The sequence below is a fragment of the Homo sapiens genome, chromosome 2, assembly GCF_000001405.40.
Source record: "Homo sapiens chromosome 2, GRCh38.p14 Primary Assembly".
NCBI lineage: Eukaryota > Metazoa > Chordata > Mammalia > Primates > Hominidae > Homo > Homo sapiens.
This window is the reverse complement of record NC_000002.12, coordinates 184,316,810-184,337,694: the sequence shown is the minus strand read 5'-3', so window position 1 is coordinate 184,337,694 and position 20,885 is coordinate 184,316,810. Positions and strand designations below refer to the sequence as shown.

The 20,885-nt window shown below is 32.6% G+C and overlaps 2 long non-coding RNA genes across 4 annotated transcripts in view; one reads left to right on the top strand and one right to left on the bottom strand.

The window, feature by feature from the left end:
* LOC102724340 (uncharacterized) overlaps positions 1 to 20,885 on the bottom strand; it is a 246,221-nt gene that overhangs the window by 98,796 nt on the left and 126,540 nt on the right. For 2 of the 3 annotated variants that reach the window (XR_923652.2, XR_001739818.2), the window contains exons 3-4: positions 4,802 to 4,901; positions 2,805 to 2,953 (exon numbers count right to left, since the gene is read on the bottom strand). This is a non-coding gene — a long non-coding RNA (uncharacterized LOC102724340). Of the gene's footprint in view, positions 1 to 2,804; positions 2,954 to 4,801; positions 4,902 to 20,885 lie in introns of those variants that run through there. The other variant, XR_001739819.1, reaches the window with a different exon arrangement.
* The window catches only part of LOC105373776 (uncharacterized), a 116,629-nt gene that overhangs the window by 57,694 nt on the left and 38,050 nt on the right, over positions 1 to 20,885 (top strand). The gene's annotated exons all lie outside the window — the stretch shown is intronic.

The window sequence follows — 20,885 nt, the reverse complement described above, 5'->3', positions numbered from 1 at the left end:
GAGCTCAGAAAGATGCAGCTGCTTTGAGAGATAAGGAATTTAAAGGATATCTTATGGTATCTATTAAAACTATAATTTAAAATATATAAGTCCAAATCCTGCAACATCAAAAACTCTCTATTATCAAAAAACTTAAAGTAGTAAATGCAGTATTTTAAAAACTCATAATATGAACAATATGAATATAAATTTGACAATTTTGTAGTGCATTTTAGTCTATAAATCTCAAATAGTTTATTCCAAGTTATACTCTACTGTGTATTACAATGCTTTTTAAATAATTTTTCACCAGCAATATTTTAAAAAGCAAACAAAAAGTATGAGTAAAAAGTTCCTTCTCTAAATTTAATAAAACCAGAGTTGTGGTATTAATTAAGAATGTATGTCCACATCACAATTTGTTGTTTTCCTCTGTAACTTCTCAGTTTCATTCATGAAAACTTTAAAAACATAGTTTATAAATCAGTGGTGCCTATTATAGTAATGCTTCATACATTAATGACACATTTAATAACCTTAATACAATAATAACTGATAATAATTCACAGAATTGTGGTATGAATCCAGGCACTAAAGGCCTTTGTCCTGGCCTCCATAGAGGACCTTGCATATTTGCAAACGTCTAAAAGAAATTAAGTAAAGAATGTACAGAAACATTTGTTTCTTCAGATCAGGTACCCAGAACTAGAACAACACTACTCAGAATCCTAAAACATCTTCTTTTGTGACTAATACTCTCTTGTTTCCAGAGTACTTCTCTCTATACTTCTTACTTCATATCCTTGGAAAACAGGATGACTAAGCTTCATTGCTGGGATAGTTTGTGGATTTAACTTATGCTGACATTGAAACAGACAACTGGTAGGAGTGTAGGGAAAGATAGTTCAATTAGTGGAACTGAGAAGACAAATTAACTTGTCAAATACTTTTCAACATGAATGCAATAAATTTGTGCAAAACAAAATATGGTTTCTCAATAGTAGATACAATCTTCTTGTTTGTTTCTGTTCATGGCCCACTAGGTAGTTCTGTATGTAATCAAGAATTTGCATTGCACTTGTAGGATTTGCACATGGTGACTGAGAAATATTTTATATCAATTAACTTGAATTACCCTTACGTTTGTATATCTGGGGGGCCTAGATAGAAGGTGTGTGAAAAGTAGTAATAATTTTCTACATTCACAAGTAATTATGTACTGAATAATATTTTTATACAGTTTACTAACATGTATTTAATTCCCCCAAATGAATTTAAATATCCAGATTTATTTAAATAAATTCGATTTAAATATTAACTTTTTAAATTTGTATTTTATCTTTAATATTAATATATAATTTCAGTAAGCAATGAATGCTTTAGATTACAATAAAATAGTTTTTCAAATCTATATAAATAATTTTATTTTTCCAATGTGTCCCATTCTGTTCAATTTGTTTTTCAAGACACGTATAATCACATTTTAAATACAATTAAATTTTTTTGTTGCAACAATCATTTTGATAATTGAGAATAAATAAAAATCAAGGTCATTGTAGAAAGAAAAAATGCACAAAAACACAGTTTAGGACAGAAAAATAAAGCAACAAAAGAAAAGTTGTTGTTATAAAAGCATTTCAGCCAGGATAAAGACATAATATATTTTGTTTATTCACAGTTTTTTTAAACTCGATTTATAACTTCTAAATATTGAGACATATGGTAAAGCGGGCCCTGGTGATATTCTTGTCCTAGACACTACAAATTTTAACGATGACACCGAATACCTTTGTATTTACGTAAGTCAAATTGCTTTATCTGAAAACTGTATGTTCTGTACCGGACTTTCCTTCCTTCGTCTTTTTAAATGCTGCTTTTATGGGTATGATCAAGTCAAGTGAGAGAGTCTAACAATGAAGAGAGAGTGATCAACCATGACAAATGATGCCCAAAGGCCAAATAAAATGATCATTAAATTTAGCAACATAGAGGCTATTGCTGGCAATTAATAAGAATATTTTAATGGAGTAGAGGTTAGATGTGGATAGCATGGGTTTAAGAAAGAATGGATAAAATGACTAGACACTGTGAATTTGATTGAGTTTTACTTCAAAGGGGAGAAAATAAATAGAATACTAGCTTGTTGAAATAATAAGAATAAAGATGAGACAAAAAAGTAATAGCACGGCTGCATGCAGATGAAAATGATTCAGTAGAGCACGAGAGTTGGAGGCTATGGAAGAGATGGGATAGGATTATTATTGCCCAGTTCTAGTCACAAGTGGAAGGAGGATTTAATTTTTATAGGAGCATAGAGAGTCATTTGTGGAAACAAATAGGAAAGATTAGTATGTAGATATGAAAGCTGGTATGTGAGTTATGCCTATTCTTCTATTCTGATTACTTCAGTGCAGTTGTAAGCAATATTTTGATCTCAGAGCAAAAATAATAATTCTACCTATTTTCTAGGGCTGTTGAGATGATTAAATGAGTTTGTACATGTAAGAAACTTAGAATGCTGCATGGCATATTGGTATCATCTAACATGTTAGCTACTGTCATAGCCATTAATTTCTTCCTATAAATATGTCTGCTGTTAATTTCACCAAACTCTTTTGAAAGAGCCCAATTTTTCAAATTATTCTTGAAAGCCGTGATTTAAAAAATTTAAAAATGAGTATTGTAAATGTATATCTATTTATATATAAATATAAATTATATAAATTTATAGTATATTATGACTTATATATTCAAAATATATATTTATATGTAAATATAAATTATATAAAATATATATCATATTTTGATATAATACATACATTTTTTCCTCTTAGTATATTTCCCTCTATTCCTTCAACATCTGACTCTTGTTATTTGCTTTGTTTTCCAGGCCTCTATCATTTCCTTTCCCTGTAACAGGTTTTGTCCTCATTGCAGTCCTATTTCTTCCTAAGTGTTGATGTCAGTATATGGCCTAAGTAAAAGCATGTAACAAGTTAAAAATACCAAATAGAGTCATCTTGTAATTAAAACCTATATATTCTGGTGCTCAAACACACAGTTTCTTGAGACTTTTTAAGGTTAATGGAAATGTGAAACAATAATGATGTTCTCCGTTGGCTTTTATTCATTTGTCACACTGAAAAAACCTATTCATTTAAATCTTGCTTCTATTAATAAAAATGGCAATTGTGCTACACTTAATTAAAGAGAATTGTATAAACAGAATATTTTTGGTGATGGGAATGAAATAACTAGTGTTTTACCAAGCATTAGCTTTTCTACCTGTCCTCTTATAGGTGGTTTTGATTGCAGTAACCATGACCAGAAAGCATTCTAGCAGGACCACACATAGGTTAGAAAGCCCTTGCAGGTGTGTAATCAACATTTCACTTACATGTTTCACTAACTCAGTGGGAAGACTATCAAGTGGGTGGATTTGTCCTTAATCATGACTAGCGCAGAGATGCTGATTCTCTAAATTTAATATGTGCGTTTTTGGACATATAATTTTAAGTAAAATAAGAAGTTAAGATCCTCCCAAAATTTTACCTTCTATTATTTTACATATGAAGTTGCTACACCTTTTTATGAGATGGGGTTTAGAGGCAAGCCTCCTAGATATTTTAATAATTATCTGCTAACTCTAGTCTGCGAATAATTTTATTTGACAGAATAAAAAAGACATTTTCTCTTACAAGAGTTAAAGAGTTTAGAATAACTTTACTTTTATAATTATATGCATATATTCATTAACATATACTCCTGGCAATTAGTTAACATATGCCTTCTACTTTCTGGATGATATAAAATACCTTGGGTTTTGATTTATTTAATATGCTCAAAAATTCAGTTTTGTTAAAATTCTTATCATATGGTTCTACTTATCTTTCTATGCTACCTTCAACTTTAAGTCTGCTCATTCAACCTCTTTGACACATGAGACCATTTAAAATCCACCACTTGCCTGAACTTGTGGCTTCCCTTTGGAGTCAAGAGGTGTCCAGGCTAAATGAAAGTCTGAATATGCTACTGGCTACTGGCCTGAATCATTCTAATTTTTCCACTTAGGTCATTGTTACTTAAGCATAGAGAAGCAGAAAGACCAGCTTTCTTCAGATTTGATTCCCTGCATGTTTTCCTTATACAAAATGAAAATTTTAGGAAAAGAAGGTAATTATACTGCTGATAAAGTTCCTGTAGGACTTTACTCATCAATCAAAGACAAATAATCATGTCTCTATTGTTTATTCCTTTTGTAAGTATATATCTCTAATTATTTTGTTTCATGTGGAGTCAACAGTATTGATTCTTGCTTCTCTGTCTGCATTTAATGTGCTGTATCTGCTCTTCGACCTAGCATCAATAATTATCTTGCTCTTGTATTAATTTGTAAACATTTTGTTCCAAGAGAAAATTTCTGCTAAACCAGTTTATAATTGAATTGCCATATAATGAATTATCTAAATGCAATGAGAAATTTCCAGTTGTCTAGGAAGAAAACTTTTGACTAAAAGTATGATTAAATTTGAAATATATTTTAAAAATCATGAGTACAATGACATTACATATTAACCTTCTGATGAAAATATTTTTTGAAGTGAAAAATAGCTCTTCCATAATTTTGTTTTTTTCTTAAATATTTCTTTCTCTTATTGCTTGCATTAAATTATTCTTGTTAATCTCTATTTCTGGATGATCTCAGATTTAGGAGATTCATAGCAGAGAAATATTTGCATCAGTAGGGACACCATAAAGATTATCTAGACTGAGGCATTATTTGGGCAAAAGAACTGAGGCTCAGAGAGGATGAGAAACTTACTTGAGGTCACACTTTAAGCAGTTAAGGGAACACTGGGTCTAAAATCCAAGATTCCTAATTTGGGGACTTCTATATTTCCTTCTGTGTCATTGTGCTTTCCCTAAAGTGGAAAAGAAATAAAACAGTAGAATGGATTGTGAGAGTAGGAAACTAAAACAAAATTTTAAAAAGATGTGAAAATATTTGGAAAGCCATTTTTTTAAAAAAACTAAAACATTCTATCATTCAATTGTATATTGTATCTCAATTTATAAGAACATGATAAAACATAAATGTACTTACTTTTATATAATTGTTAATTAAATGATTGATAAATCTATGTGAAGAACTTCATTTTATATCAATAAATTTAAGCTAAAAGTTACAATAATTTTTTCAAGGTAACAAGTATGTTAATACATAATTAAATTGCACACACTTAAGATAGAAATGTGAAATAGTATTAATAAATTATTATTTTGATTTTTATTGTAATGGAAAGCCAAATTTTTATTTCTAGTCTCATCTTCAAGGAATCTTTTATTAACATACTTTTGGAAGTTTAGATGGCTGCTTTAGAGGACATGGAGGACAACAAGTGACAGCACAATTAGACCCTAAGTGAAACACAATCTTTTTTTTTTTAATGGAGGTCAGCCAGATTTTTATAATGTGTAAATTCTTCTTTGTTCATATATAACAGTGGCATGCTTAGATAGGTTCTAACTGACAAAAAGTAGCCTTTTCATCTGTCCATAAAAAAATCTTTAAACCCAAAATGATGAATCAATTATTTCATTACATTAAGGAAACGTGTAAGCTAGCAAAATTCCAGACAAGGATAATTGTTGTATTTAAGTGAGTCTTAAACATATGTTTTCCATGCCTGTGAACATTGTAAAAATAAATAAAAAATTTTAAAATATAAGATTTTATTTTGTCAGCTGTATTACTTACCCCAGAAGTCAATTATATACCTTGAGGTACAATGGAAGTGAAATGCATTTAATGCTAGGCTAGTTGATAAAGTCAATCTGTGAGGTAAGAATTTTACACTGAAAATTAATATTTAATTTAGAACATCAAAAATTAATATTCAAAATCTCCTAAATACAGATGAAGTAAAATGTTTATAGTTTTCTGTATGACACCGTATTTAGTCAAACTTATGCATGGTAAGATTTCAGGGTCAATGAGGAAAGTTACAAAGAACAAAAGAAAAGGCAATATACAAGGGACCAGACATTCTGCTTTTAAGATAACTGTCGAAATTCGAGTGGCAAATGTGTGTGTGTGTGTGTGTGTGTGTGTGTGTGCGCTTGTGGGGAGCGAGCATAAATAAAGTGATTGAGAAGAAGATAATTCTGATGCCCTCCTGCTTGCCTTCAGGATTTAATCCACTCGATTTCAAAAGTATGTCTATTATAACTTTAATACATTTAAATGGTATGTTTGTTGTCGGAGTTAAGATAAATAATACATGTGAAACACATTGCGGACTATGTCAGACTGAATAAGTGTTTATTGGATTTGAACTGGTCTAAGCCTTGTTTGATCTGACTGTCATACAATATGTCTTTGGTAACTCTAAAAAAAACTACTACCTGCCTGTTCTCTCCTACTAAATCATCCAATGAATAATAGAGATTTTAAATGACACTTACTCAAGCATCAGGTTTTAAAGTCAGCTCATGATATGGTTTGGCTCTGTGTTCCCACCCGAATCTCACCTTGTAGCTCCCATAATTCCCACGTGTTGTGGGAGATAATTGAATGATGGGGGTGGGTCTTTCCTGTGCTTCTTTCGTGATAGTGAATGGGTCTCACGAGATCTTATGTTTTTCGTTTTTGTTTGTTTGTTTGCTTGTTTGTTTTTTTGACGGAGTTTCACTCTTGTTGCCCAGGCTGGAGTGCAATGGCTCGATCACAGCTCAGTGTAACCCCCACCTCCTGGGTTCAAGTGATTCTCCTGCTTCAGCCTCCTGAGTAGCTGAGATTACAGCATGCGCCACGACGCCCGGCTAATTTTGTATTTTTAGTAGAGACGGGGTTTCTCCATGTTGGTCAGATCTCTAACCCCCGACCTCAGGTGATCCGCCCACCTCAGCCTCCCAGACCGCACTGGGCTTTGGTTTTTAAAATGGGAGTTCAGGGGGCCGGGCGAGGTGGTTTACGCCTGTAATCCCAGCACTTTGGGATGCCGAGGCGGGCGGATCACGAGGCCAGGCGATGGAGATCATCCTGGCTAACACGGTGAAACCCGTCTCTACTAAAAATACAAAAAAGAAAAAATAAATAAATAAAAATAAAATAAAATAAAATGGGAGTTCTTCTACACAAGCTCTCTCTTTGCCTGCTGCCATCCATATAAGATGTGACGTGCTCCTTCTTGCCTTCCACCATGATTGTGAGGCCTCCCCAGCCATGTGGAACTGTAAGTCCAGTAAAACTCTTTCTTTTGTAAATTGCCCAATCTCGGATATGTCGTTATCAGCAGTTTGAAAATGGACGAATACAGTTCATAAATATGTAAATGATAGAATTCCATTGTACTGTATTTTTTCAAAATATTTTACGAAGAATTGTAATACATTTTCTTACAAGTAATTTGGAAATTACTGTATTACACTTCCAGTGTTTAATTCAAAACATTAAAAATGATTATACAGCCAGTGGGGTGGCTTGTGTCTGTAGTCCCAGCTGCTCTGGAGGATGTGGCAGGAGGATCGCTTAAGCCCAAGAATTTCAGCCTGCAGTGAGGTATGATCATGCTCCCGCACTGGAGCATGGGTGACAAGAGTGAGACCCTGTCTCTAAAAAATACAGTAAAATGAAACAGTACAATACCCATGTAAATGCCATTTACCAAAGACAAAATTGATGTTTAAGAAAAGCCCAGAAAAACCTTCTTATTTGTTAGCACTGAATTAAGTGCATTATGTTCATTCATTTATAAACAAAAATAATTCTATAAAGGACACCTCAAATCTCCTGAGAGCTCCTTCATTGCAAAAAGACAGCAGAGATTCTGATATCGTTAATTGAATATATTTCGGAGGGGTTTTTACCTGATTATTTGCTTCTGTTTCTAAGACAGACTAATATCTTATGATTTCAGCCGAAAATCCAAATGTGTTAGCATTGTGTAGAATGCCTTATGGAACCTGGCCACAAACCACATTTTTAAGTCAAATCTCTTCTCTTTCTATTCCCATCTATTTAAAAATTACAAATCTATTTAAAATATCTGTATCATTCCAAATGTTAGTCTTAGTGTATAATTTTATTTCTCAAATTCTCCTTTTTCATTAAAAAAATAAATTTGCAATAATTATAGGCTCACAGAAAATTATTAAAAAATACAGAAAAGTCCCAGCTACCTGTCACTTAGTTTCCCTCAATAATAACATCTTTCATAACTCTAGTCTGATATCAAAACAAAGACATTAAAATCAGTATAATCCCATAATTTAGTCAGCTTCTACCATATGTATATGCACTCAAATGTGTGTGTTTTGAGTGTATTCTATACAACGTTATCTCCTATATATTTATATAATAGCTACCATAATCAAAACACTTAACTATTCCATCACCACAATATCCCTCTTGCTACTCTTTTCCAATTATTTGCCTAGTAAATAGGCAGCTTAATTACTATTGTTTTCTAAACCTATCCTGAGGCTGCAGGTACTGTGTGTCCTTGTGCTCTCAGAGCTCCCTGTGTGGGCTGTTTCAAAAACTCTTACTACATTACATTTTAGTTACTCTTAAAATGTACATCTTACTAACTAAACTGACTGCAAACTCTTTGAAGTTGGAAGAGTAATGTGTGTTGAATGGGTACCTACTGGGAATAATAAAATTTGTCAAAGACGCCTCAGATAATCATACCTTGTTCAAATAACAATTTTCTGAACCTACAACTTTAAAATACTATCTCTGTGCTATAAATGAGTTAATTGACTTCTAATGTACACATGCTTTGGGCCCAATTTTTACAAAAATTTATTATAAGAGCTAGCACAAATAAGAACAAAAAGAAATGATTAAAATATAACTGCTGCTGCATGGTCTAGTTTTGCTGCTGAAGATGCCATAAGCATCTTAATTACTACACAGAGTCATTTTTTAGTAAAGGGAACTACAAACACTTCAAGTATCCATGGTGTTCATCAGCTAGTAAACCTGGCAGGTGGGTGGCTATTCCAAAATTCCTAGTAGTTAAGCAAGTCTCTAATTAGAAATTTCAAATTCCTAGAGGTCTTTGCACAGCAATCCAACAAAAATTTAACTTCAACACCACTGGCCCAGGATATATCTCCAGTATACAGACTACAGATGTATTTTATTACAGTTTCAAAGAAGATGCACAAAAGGAAATTAAATTCTGTCATCATTATTTTAATTTATATGTGAATATAGATACTTTATCACCTGATTTCAGTATGTTGAATCATTCTCCAACTTCTTGCACATATTAAAAGGATAGGTTTTTATACTTTACATGTTTAACTTTTCTCAATATTTTACACTAATATTACAAAACACCAGTTATAAAGGATTGACCCTATCAGAAATGGGAAAAAAAAATTTGCAGTTTTTGAAATAATGGTCTAAAATGGAATTAGTTTCTTACTTTCAAGTTTCCACTACTTCTTAAAGTCTTACACTTCTGGAAAAAGTAGACTTAGTACTGAGAGGTGACAACGTGCTGGCAGCCCTCGCAGCCCTCGCTCACTCTCGATGCTTCCTCGGCCGTGGCGCCCACTCTGGCCATGCTTGAGGAGCCCTCCAGCCCGCTGCTGCACCGTGGGAGCCCCTTTCTGGGCTGGCCAAGGCCGGAGCCGGCTCCCTCAGCTTGCAGGGAGGTATGGAGGAAGAGGCGCGGGCGGGAACTGGGGCTGTGGGCTGCGCTTGCGGGCCAGTGCGAGTTCCGGGTGGGCGTGGGCTCAGCAGGCCCCGCACTCGGAGCTGCCGGCCGGCCGGCCCCGCCAGCCCCAGGCAGTAAGGGGCTTAGCACCTGGGCCAGCAGCTGCTGTGCTTGATTTCTCGCCGGGCCTTAGCTGCCTCCCCACGGGGCAGGGCTCGAGACCTGCAGCCCGCCATGCCTGAGCCTCCCCACCACCCCTCACCCCCTACCCCCTACCCCCTACCCCCCACCCCACAACCAAGAGATGTTGGTCAAAGGCTACAAAATTTCAGTTAGGAAGAATAAGTTCAAGAGATCCATTGTACAATGTGGTAACATAGTTATTAACAATATAGTGTATTCTTGAAAAGCAGTGCCTGTTAAATGTTCTTAGCACAAAAATGGTAACTGTGAGATGGTACATACGTTAATTAGCTAGATTTAGCCATTCCACTATATATATATATATATATATACTTAAAATATCATGTTGTATACTATATACACAATTTTATGACAATTTGTAAGTAAATAAATGCAAACATTAAGACAATAATATATATTAAATGCTGAAATTACATGATGAAAAGCATACTCATTTCTCCCAAGTGGTTCACTCTCTAATTAGAACGAACTACTAGCGATCTTTGCAAAAACAATTACAAGCCACGTGTGCAATGCTAATTTGTGTACTTATACAATGTACAATGTTTTAAGAAATTTTACTTCCACAAATGTTATAAAAATTCCAATATATTTGTATCATTTTATAAAAGTTATTATCTTTAAGAAAATAATGAGAAAATTATTTTTATACTTATTCACATATTTACTATTTCTGGTGTCTTTTTTGGGTTGGTCTAATTTTCCTTATGTTGTCATTTTCCTTCACTGAAGAACATCCTTTAACAATTTTATTTTTCTGTATTGCAAGTCTACTCATTACAAATTCTTTCAGCACAAAAAATAAAAATAACAAAAGGAACAAATTAATAACAAATGTATAATCAATCTTACCATTTTAACTACTCATAGTAAGACTTTTTGTTATGGTGATAAAAAGCACATTTGAGATCTGCCCTTTTAACGAATATTTTTAAGTGTACAGTAACATATTGTTAACTATAAGCAATTTTATAGTAATGTGGTACAGTAGATCTGTAGAACTTTTTCATCTTTTGTGACTAAAACTCTATATCCATTGAACAGCAGCTACACATTTCCTCCTCCATCTCCCAGCCAGTGGCAACTAACATTCGACTTTCTGTGTGTCTATTTAGCTGAATGATTTTAGATACCTCAATAAGTAGAATACTGCAGAATTTGTTCTTCCACAAGTAGCTTATTTCATTTAACATAATGTCCTTAAGGGTCTTCAATGATACAGTGTATAACAGGATTCCTTATTTTTTAAGTCAAATAATATTCTATTGTATGTAGATGCCACATTTTCCAAAGCCATTCAGCCATTGATGAATATTTGTGTTGTTTCTACCTCTTTGATATTGTGAATAATGCTGCAATGAATGTGGGAGAGCAAATACTTCTTAATGACACTGGCTTCAATTCTTTTGGATAAATATTCAGAAGTGGGATTGCTGGATCATATGGTAGTTCTATTTTTAACTTTCTGAGGAACCTTTGTACTGTTTTCCACAATAGCTTCACCATTTTACATTCTCCCCAATAGCACATAAGGGTTTTAATTTCTCTATATCCTCGCCAACACTTACTTCATTTTTTTTAATAACAGCCATCTGGCCATCTGGCCATGCTAATAGATGTGAGTTGATACCTCATTGTGGTTTTGATTTGCATTCTCCCGATGATTAGTTATGTTGAGCATATTTTTCATATACCTACTGGCCATTCATATGTCTTTTTTGGAGAAATGTCTATTTAAATATTTTGTCCATATTTAATCAGGCAATTTGTTTTCTGGCCTTTTTTTCTATTAAGTTGTAGAAATTCCTTATATATTTGGGGTATCAAACCCATATCAAATGGTAGTTCTAAGTTCTTTGAAAAATCTCCTAACGATTTCCACAGTGGCTGAACTAATTTACATTCCCACGGGCAGTGTATAAGCATTCCCTTTATTCTGCAGCCCCACTAGCATCTCTTGTTTTTTGACGTTTTAATAATTGCCATTCTGACTGGTGTGAGATGGTATCTCATTGTGGTTTTGATTTGTATTTCTCTAGTGATTAATGATGTTGAGCATTTTTTCATGTTTCTTGGCCATCTGTATGTCTCCTTTTGAGAAGTGTCTTTTCAAGTCCTTTGTACACTAATTTTTTTTCCTTTTTGTTTGTTTGTTCATTTGGTTTTGTTTGTTTTAGAAAACTCACACCAGAGGCCAGCATTTTTTTTTCTTACTGAACTATTTAATTTCCTTATTGTGTGTTTATAAATCAGAAGAGAAGCTTAACAATCAGATCCCAGGAAGAGCAGGAGACAGTTTCTGGGTATCTATAATAACTTAGGAAATGCTCTTATAATCTATAATTTAGTCTGCTCAAGAGAAAGTCTTATAATTTGATAATTAAAAGTGATACAATATTTTATTTTATAATACTTTTGGTTATTTTGTGACACAATATGAGTAAAGGAGTGAATCAGCTATAATTAATTTATATTCTTGTCTTAGCTCAAGAGGCAAATTACCAAGACAACAGTCTGATAGGTTTAGGTTGTCAAGTGAACTTCTTTGTTCACTCTTGACTGACTAGCTCAGGGGGATGGCACACAAAGGAAGAAGTAGAGATGATCCCCGAAAGGAAACACTTGACCTTTAAAAAGTTAGTGGATGTAACTTGTTGGGGGAAAAAAAGGCTCTTAGGTCCAATATGTTTAAGACATACTGGACTAGAAAAGCATGGGTTTTTTGTTTTGTTTTGTTTTGTTTTCTTGTTTTTTTTTAGCAGCATTTTAGGAACTTTGTGCATGTTTTTTAACATGCCTTCACAGAATTGGTTGCTTTGATTTTCCTTTGGAGTATATTTTCAGAAATACTCCATTAGAAAAAAAAAAGAAAAGAAATTAAAGGGTTCCTTTCATTGAGCACTTCTACTTTCACTATAAAATACAACTCCAACTGAAACTCAGATAAAAGGAAGAAGCATTTAGGAAACACTTTATTTATTAGAATTACCTGGACAGATTGGTAAGACACAGATTGCTGAACCCTACTTCCAGAGTTTCTGATTCAGGAGGACTGGTGGTGAGTTCCAAGAATTTGCATCTCTAACAAGTTCCCAGGTGATGCTGATAATGCTCATCCTGGAACCACTTTGGAAAAAGTTCTGTTTTAATAATTGCTGGAATCAGTAAGTGAACATAATTGTTTAAATCTTTAAATCTTTTGTATAACACAGATAAGCCTCTGGGGCTTATGATGCAATGGAATTGCATCGTTTGCATAATCCTTTAAATTCTGTTTCTGAAAAATTGAATTCACCTGGCCATGCTAAACATCCTGAAGATGATATGAACTCCTGGGCCCTCAGCTTGACAGAAACTTCTCATAAAAATGTAATCAATTTCTGGAATGGGCTACAATTTGGACACGTTCTCCAGTAGAGGAGAGAAACTCTTGGGTCCTTCAGGAATCCATGCCATCCTGCGATCCCTGGGAATGCTGGCCTCTGGTGTGAGTTTTCTAAAACAAACAAAACCAAATGAACAAACAAACAAAAAGGAAAAAAAAAAACACGATCGAACTGTCATATTACCTTATGAAGTGCAAAACATATTTTAACTGGTCCATTATAAGTACAGAAAGTAAAAAATAACACTCAGAAAAGTGATAGATTAAGAGATTGCACTGTGATGTGTAAGCAAGCATTTAACTTTCTTGGAACATATTGTATTTATTGATGGTTAAATTGGCATTTCATATTTCTCAAGGATTGGTATAATGTTTCAGCATGTCAGTTTAATTAGATGAAAAAAGGTATCATGCTTACAAGCTGGCCAGATAAAATCCATCAGTCTTACCAATATAAGCAACCACATTAAGAGGGAAAAGAAATCACTGTTATGGACTGAATTTTGTCCCTTCAAATTTATAGGTTTAACTCTTTACCCACAACATGACTATATTTGGAGAGAGGGCTTTTAAGTAGGTAATTAAGGTTGAATGTGGTCATAAGGGCAAGGTTCTAATTCAATAGAACAAGTGTCCTTAAGAATAGGAAGAGACACCAGCAATGCATGTGCACAAAGAAAAAGCAGTGTGGTCTGCAAGCCAGGGAGAGAGGATTTTGAAGAAAACAACTCTGTCAGTACTTTGATTTTTAAGCCACCCTGTCTGTGGAATTCTGTTAGCACAGGCTAATATGCTCTTCTTTTCTTCTTAGTCCTATTCAAAGCTTCATATAAGCATTTACTAAACATACACTCCATTCAGGATTTGATAGTCAAATGAACTTGTGAAATCCTAGGACAAATAATGTCCAAACAATAGTGTTTACTGAAAGGGTTAAATAAAGCTAAACAATTGCCTTTACTGAAAGATTTCTGACACATTATTTGATGTGAATCAAATAATATAAATATTATAAATCTGATGTGAAAGCTATTCAATGCAACATTTTTTCAATTTACTAGATACTGTTGCTCTTTTTTCTTTTTTATTGTCTTTTGTTTATTTGTTTAAACAATATCTCATGAGAGAAGTATTGGCAAATATTGTTTTACGTAAGTTAATTAACGACATTTCATTATTAGGACTAGCGTTTATCTTTCTCACTGACTCAAAATTTAATCTCTTAGTTTTATATTAGAATTTTACATCATCATTTGGGTTATTACTCTGGGTTTCTGCATTAAAGAAATAGCCAATAGGATGTGTTTATATATATACATTTATGCCTATATATACACACATACATATTGACTTATTTAATATATTTATATTTACACAAACACACACACACACACACACACAGAGATTTATTTTAAAGGATTTGGATACTAGCAAGCTAGAGACCGAGGGAAAAGTTATTGTTACTTTCTCTAGTTGAAGGCTATCTGGAAGCATATTCCTTCTTCTTCAAGGAACTTCAGTCCTTTCTCTTACGCCTTCAATTGATTGGATGGGGTCCACCCACATTGTGATGAGTAATCAGCTAGGCTATAAAGTCTACTGATTTACATGTTAATTACGTCCTAAAAATTACCTTCACAGCAATATCTAGACTGGTATTTGACTAATACTGTGTACTATGGCCCAAACAAGTTGACATGTTAAATTAACCATGACAGTCCCCATAACATTCATCCTGATTTGTTTTTACCACATTTTACCCATTTAAAAACCAAAGTCCTCAAGCTCAATCATCCTTTTCTTTCCTGATACCTGAGTGACAGATGAGACAAATATATTGGCAGAACTTGTTAAATTCTGTGTTAAAATGCTCGGCCCAGCTGATATGAGTTTACTTACTCTGCTGCTATCAGCAAGTGATGCTGGAAGAGTCTGCTTCTTTCCCTGTTTATAGTTTTCTCCAGTTTCTGACTCTGAAATATTAGGGTCGCATAACTCATTCTGTGTTCCAGTAACATTTTAGGGCTCCATTTACCTCTCGTATATTGTTCTTTTCTGTAACAATTTTTCTTTGCTTTCTGCTTTTCACAAATGGAAAGTATCATGAAACCTTTTAAATTTATATCTTCTAATAAGTCTTTTCTAGACAGAGCCCAAGAATTGCTCATTTTAAATCTTTTTTTTTTTAGTCCCCTAAAAGAGATATAATGCAGTTTGCTTATTGATGGTTTTAACATTATGGTCTGTTCATTCCATAATTATATTTATAAAATGTATTAAATTATATAAGTAGTCACATTTGATTTATAAACTTTTCTATGCCTAAGTTCCTTTCTCATTGTTGTACATAATTATCAACTATTCTGAAAACTACATCTCTCCTGTCCTAAGCCTAAGAAATAATTTCATCTTGTATTTCAAGGAGATCAAATCATCTATGAAGAAATACCTTTTCCATCTTCCTCTCTTTGTCTCTCTTTGTGTCATAATGTTCTTATGTATTGTCTTGGGGAAAAAATGTACTTCTGTTCTTTGGAACTACACCACTTGGCATTCAATAAATATTTGTTGATTGATTTAACAGTTTTTTTTTTTAATTTTTAGACATACTTTTTTTTTTTTTTTCTTTTTTTGAGACGGAGTCTCACTCTGTTGCCAAGGCTGGAGTGCGGTGGCTCGATCTCAGCTCACTGCAATCTCCGCCTCCAGGGTTCAAGCGATTCTCCTGCCTCAGCTTCACGAGTAGCTGGGATTACAGGCATGCATCACCATGCCCGGCTAATTTTTTTTTTTTTTTTTTGTATTTTTAGTAAAGATGGGGTTTCACCATACTGGCCAGGTTGGTCTCGAACTCCTGAACTTGTGATCCACCTGCCTCGGCCTCCCAAAGTGCTAGGATTACAGGCGTGAGCCACCGCGCCCGGCCACAGACATACTGTTTTATATAAAGTATTTCTAATATATTCTAATGTTTTCTTTTTAATAAAATATTTTTATTGTGGTAAAATACACATAACTACTTTTAAATGTACAGCTCAGTAGTATTACATACATTCATATAGTTGTGTAACCATTCCCATCATTCATCTCCAGAACTCTTTTCGCCTTACAAAACTGAAACTATACCCATTGAACACTAACTCCATATTCCACTGTCCCTTAATCTCTGGCAACCACCATTCTACTTTTCTGTCTCTATTAATTTGACTACACTAGGAGACACATATAAGTGAAATCATAGATATTTGTCTTTTTGTGATTGGCTTATTTCACTTAGCGTAATGTCCTCAAGATTCCATCTATTCATCTATTTGGCAAAGTTGTCTCTATTATATTGCCCACATATTTCACAAATTTGTTTCCTCTTATTCATTCTCTCAACTGTTTTGGTTAAATTTCTCTGTATCTTTTATATTGACTCAGTGAAACGGCCTATTGACAGTCCCTTCATAATATTCTGTTCATTCCTAACCATCACCCACCACTGTCAGAATTAAGTGGTTATTGTGGTTACTACCTTATTTTTGTTATTATATTTCAGATTATAAATCTAACCAAATTACTCTTTGCTTAAAATATTTTACTGTCTTCTGATTATCTATTTTTTAAGACTAGATATATTTAAAAATGAGTGTATTATGTTCTTCTGAGTTCCATTTATTATTAAGCATGTTTTATTTTTTATCATGGACCCTGTGCTTCATTACATTCTTTTTTGTGTTAGAAATTTAATTCAACTACTATGCTTCCAAATGTATATCTCATTATAAAGAAGTAACTCAAACTTTTTACTCTTTTCATAAAAAGTTTATTAATTTTGCGAGTCTTAAAAACAGATCTTGATTTACATCCAGATCTCATCATGGTATGACTTTTGTTGACTGTTTCTAAGAAGAAGTGTAATGATTCAGAGTATACCAACAGATAAATAAGAAAACATTCTTTGTGTCTCTTGTAGAAGAAAAACAAGAGTGACATATTAAATGCTGTATACCAAGTGCAATGTTCTGGGCACATGTTATGTTTCCTAAATGTAATCTTTATATTAAATTTGCATTAATTTTATACTAGAAATCTTAATTAAATTACTATGATTCCAAATGTATATCTCATTATAAAGAAGTAACTCAAACCTTTTATTCTTTTCATGTAACGATCGTTAATTTTGTGAGTCTTGTCTAAAATAAGAGAGGAGAACATAGAACAGAGAGAGGAAGAGAAAAAAAGAGCAAATCAAAGGAAGAGAATGTTGATTATGTTATGTTTATTATGTTTTGGACTTAGCTTTTCAAGATGTGTGAATAAAACGACAATTGCTTGGGTAACCATGAGCCTCTTAGGTCATTTTCTATGACAACCACACATACAATGTTCTGGAAAGAGATAACTCAATAACAACTATTCCACCACTGTATACACCAGTTAATCATACAGTCTTCCCTCAAAGAGGAATTTGGCTTCAACAGGCCTATTATACTTCTTAGGAGAGTCACCCATGCATATCATACATCACCAGGTTGTCTCTCACGGAGCGTATTATATACTGCTACAGAACATCTCGAAGCTCAAAGAAGATTTATACAAACACAGCAGGGAGTGACAAGGAATCTAAGTATATATCAGGGAGCTATTATTTGTGTGAGTTTTCAAAACTTAACATATGTAAGCAGAAGGCAAAATCACCATATTTAGATCTGTAGGATATTTTTAATCTTTTAAATTGTATCGTTTATGTTCATATGTTTAGGCTTATATGAGAAGAGCTAATAAACATAAAACAAAACAAAATAAAACAAACTTAAATAATTGAAATCAGTCAATGATGTATTATTTCACCAAATAAAAACGTACAAAATATATTCTTAGACCATGACAAAATTAAAGTAGAAGTTAATAACAGAAAGATACAGGAAAACTGCCAAATATTTGGAAATATAACACATACTTTCAAACAACTGATAGGTTAAATAGAAAGTTATAAAGAAATTTATAAATTATTTTAATGGAAAAATGGAAACATCTTAGTGAAAATTTGTGTGGTATCACTAAAACAATCCTAAAAATATATGTATCATTATATGCTTATGTTGTAAGGGAAGAAAAGTCTTCAATTAATGATGTAAGGTTCCACATTAAAAATAATAAATTGATATAAGAAGGACAAAGAAAATAAATATAAAATCAGAAGTCAATGAATTAGAAAATGAAGAAAGGATAGAGAAAATATAGCAATGGTAGGGTTTTTTTAAGATTAATAAAATTGTAAACCTTTGGGCTGATTTTTCAAAAAACATAAGAAAGCACACATTACATGTATTACTGACATTGGAATGTCAACCCATTAAACAGCTGAGTTGAAATGGACATATTTCTTGTGAGACACAAACCATCAAATCTCACTTACAAAAATAATTGCCTAATTAGCTCTAAATCTATTACAGAAAATGAGTCTTTATTACACTCTCACAAAGATCAAGACAAAGATGCCTTTCCTAATGAATTCTACCAAATATTTAATGAAGAAATAATAGAAATTACATAATACTCTTCTAAAAATGAAGATGAGATGTCACACAACTAATTTTATAAAACCAGTGCTATTAAAACTAAACACATTATAAAAATATAAAAGTAAAAAAAGTATCACATTCATTACATAAACTTAAAATTTTCTAGCCCAATATGAGAAAATATTCTAGCAATAGATATAGTAGCTGATACATCATGACCAAGTGGCTCTATCCTACTGTATGTAAGGTTGGTGAATATTTGAAGATTAATCATTATAAAGGACCATATTTATATTTTGAAGAATAACATGAAATTATCTCAGTAGATGTAGATACAGCATTTTGGAAATTTCAACAACCACTATGTTAGAAATTGTTGCAACCCAAGAATGGTAGAGAACTTCTTCGTTTTGATAAGAACCATTTATAAAAAAATCTAGAGTTAAATTATATTTGTATAGTGAAAGAATGATTTCCATGAACATTACGAAAAATCAAGAATGTTCACTCTCATTACTTCTATTCAGTGCTTTACAGTGGTATTATTCAGTGCAATAGGGCCAGAAAATATATCAAAGAAACAGATTGGAAAAAAAGAAATAAAACTGACTTCACTCAAAGACAATGTGATCAGTTTAGCAGATAATATTATGCAATTTTCAAAAAGTAAGTGAATTTGAAAAGGTCATAGAATATAGGTCAGTATACAAAAATAAATTGTACTTCTGTTTTCTGGAAATGAACAACTGTTAAAGTTTAAAATTTTTACCCTTAAAATTACATAAAAATATAAAATTACTTAACATAAATTTAAAGGAATACATGCCACATATTTAAATTTCAACCGCAAAATAGAGCTGGCTGCAGTGGGGCATTCCTGTAGTCCCAGCTGCTTGGGAAGATGAGGTGAGAGGATCCCTTGAGCTCAGGAGTTTGAGTTCAGCATTCTGGGCAACTTAACAAGATGCTGTCTCAAAAAAACTGTCACAGAGATAAAAATGGACCTAAATATAAGTGATATAATGTGTACATTCTCCAAAAATTAACTTATTTAATGTATTCACAATCAAAATTCCAGTAAGCAATTTTTGTCAAAATTGACAGGCTGAACCTAAAATTTATATATAAATATAAAGGAGTTAGAATATCTGAAACAATTTTGAAAAATAAATTTGAGAGACTTGCATTACCCAAGTTCAACATTTACTTTCTAGAATGAAGAATGTGTGGCATTAGATCAATGATAGACATATAAATCAAAGGGAAAAGATAAAAACCCAGAGAGTATAGACAGTCATGTTCTACACCCACATATTTACCTGATTAATCAACTGTTTAATATTATTGTTTTGTTTCATATTATTATATTTGTTTAATATATTTTGTATATTTGTGATAATTAATGCCAAAACAGGAGTTACTATTGTTTTATTTAATGTTTGTTTAACATATTTTGTATAATATTATTTGTAATAATTAAAACAAAAACAGGAGATACCAAAAAAACATAATCACACTAGTTTTTATAGATTTATCAGATTTTTTTTGTTTTGGATTTGAATTATCTACTAATGTTCATTGATTTTCCACCTGAAGGACTCTTTTCAGCATTTACTATAGGTCAGGTGTATTAGGAACTTGTTCCTTTAGCTTTTATTGATCTTGGATGTTTTAATTTCTCTTTTATCTTTGAAGAATAGTTTTGCTGGATATTTAATTCTTGAATGACAATATATTTGTTTGTTTGATGAGAAAGTGTCTTCTAATCTTTCTGAGGATTCTCTGTACCCTATGAGTCACTTCTTTTTTACGACTTTCAATATTATTTTGTCTGGCTTTCAACAGATTGTTTATGATTATTTTTGGTGTGGATCTCTGACTTCATCTGCTTAGAATTTATAGAAATTCTTGGATATGTAGTTGCATATGTTTTATTAAATTTAGGACATTTCGCCATTTTAAAAACATTTTTTGACTATTTTTCTTCCTTTCTTCTTTTGGAAACTACCATAATTAGTATGTTGGTATGCTATATGATATCCCATAATTCCCTTAGCCTCTGCTCATTTTTGTCTATTTCTTTCCTTCTATTCTTCAGACTGGTTAATTTCAATAGACCTCTCTTCAAGTACC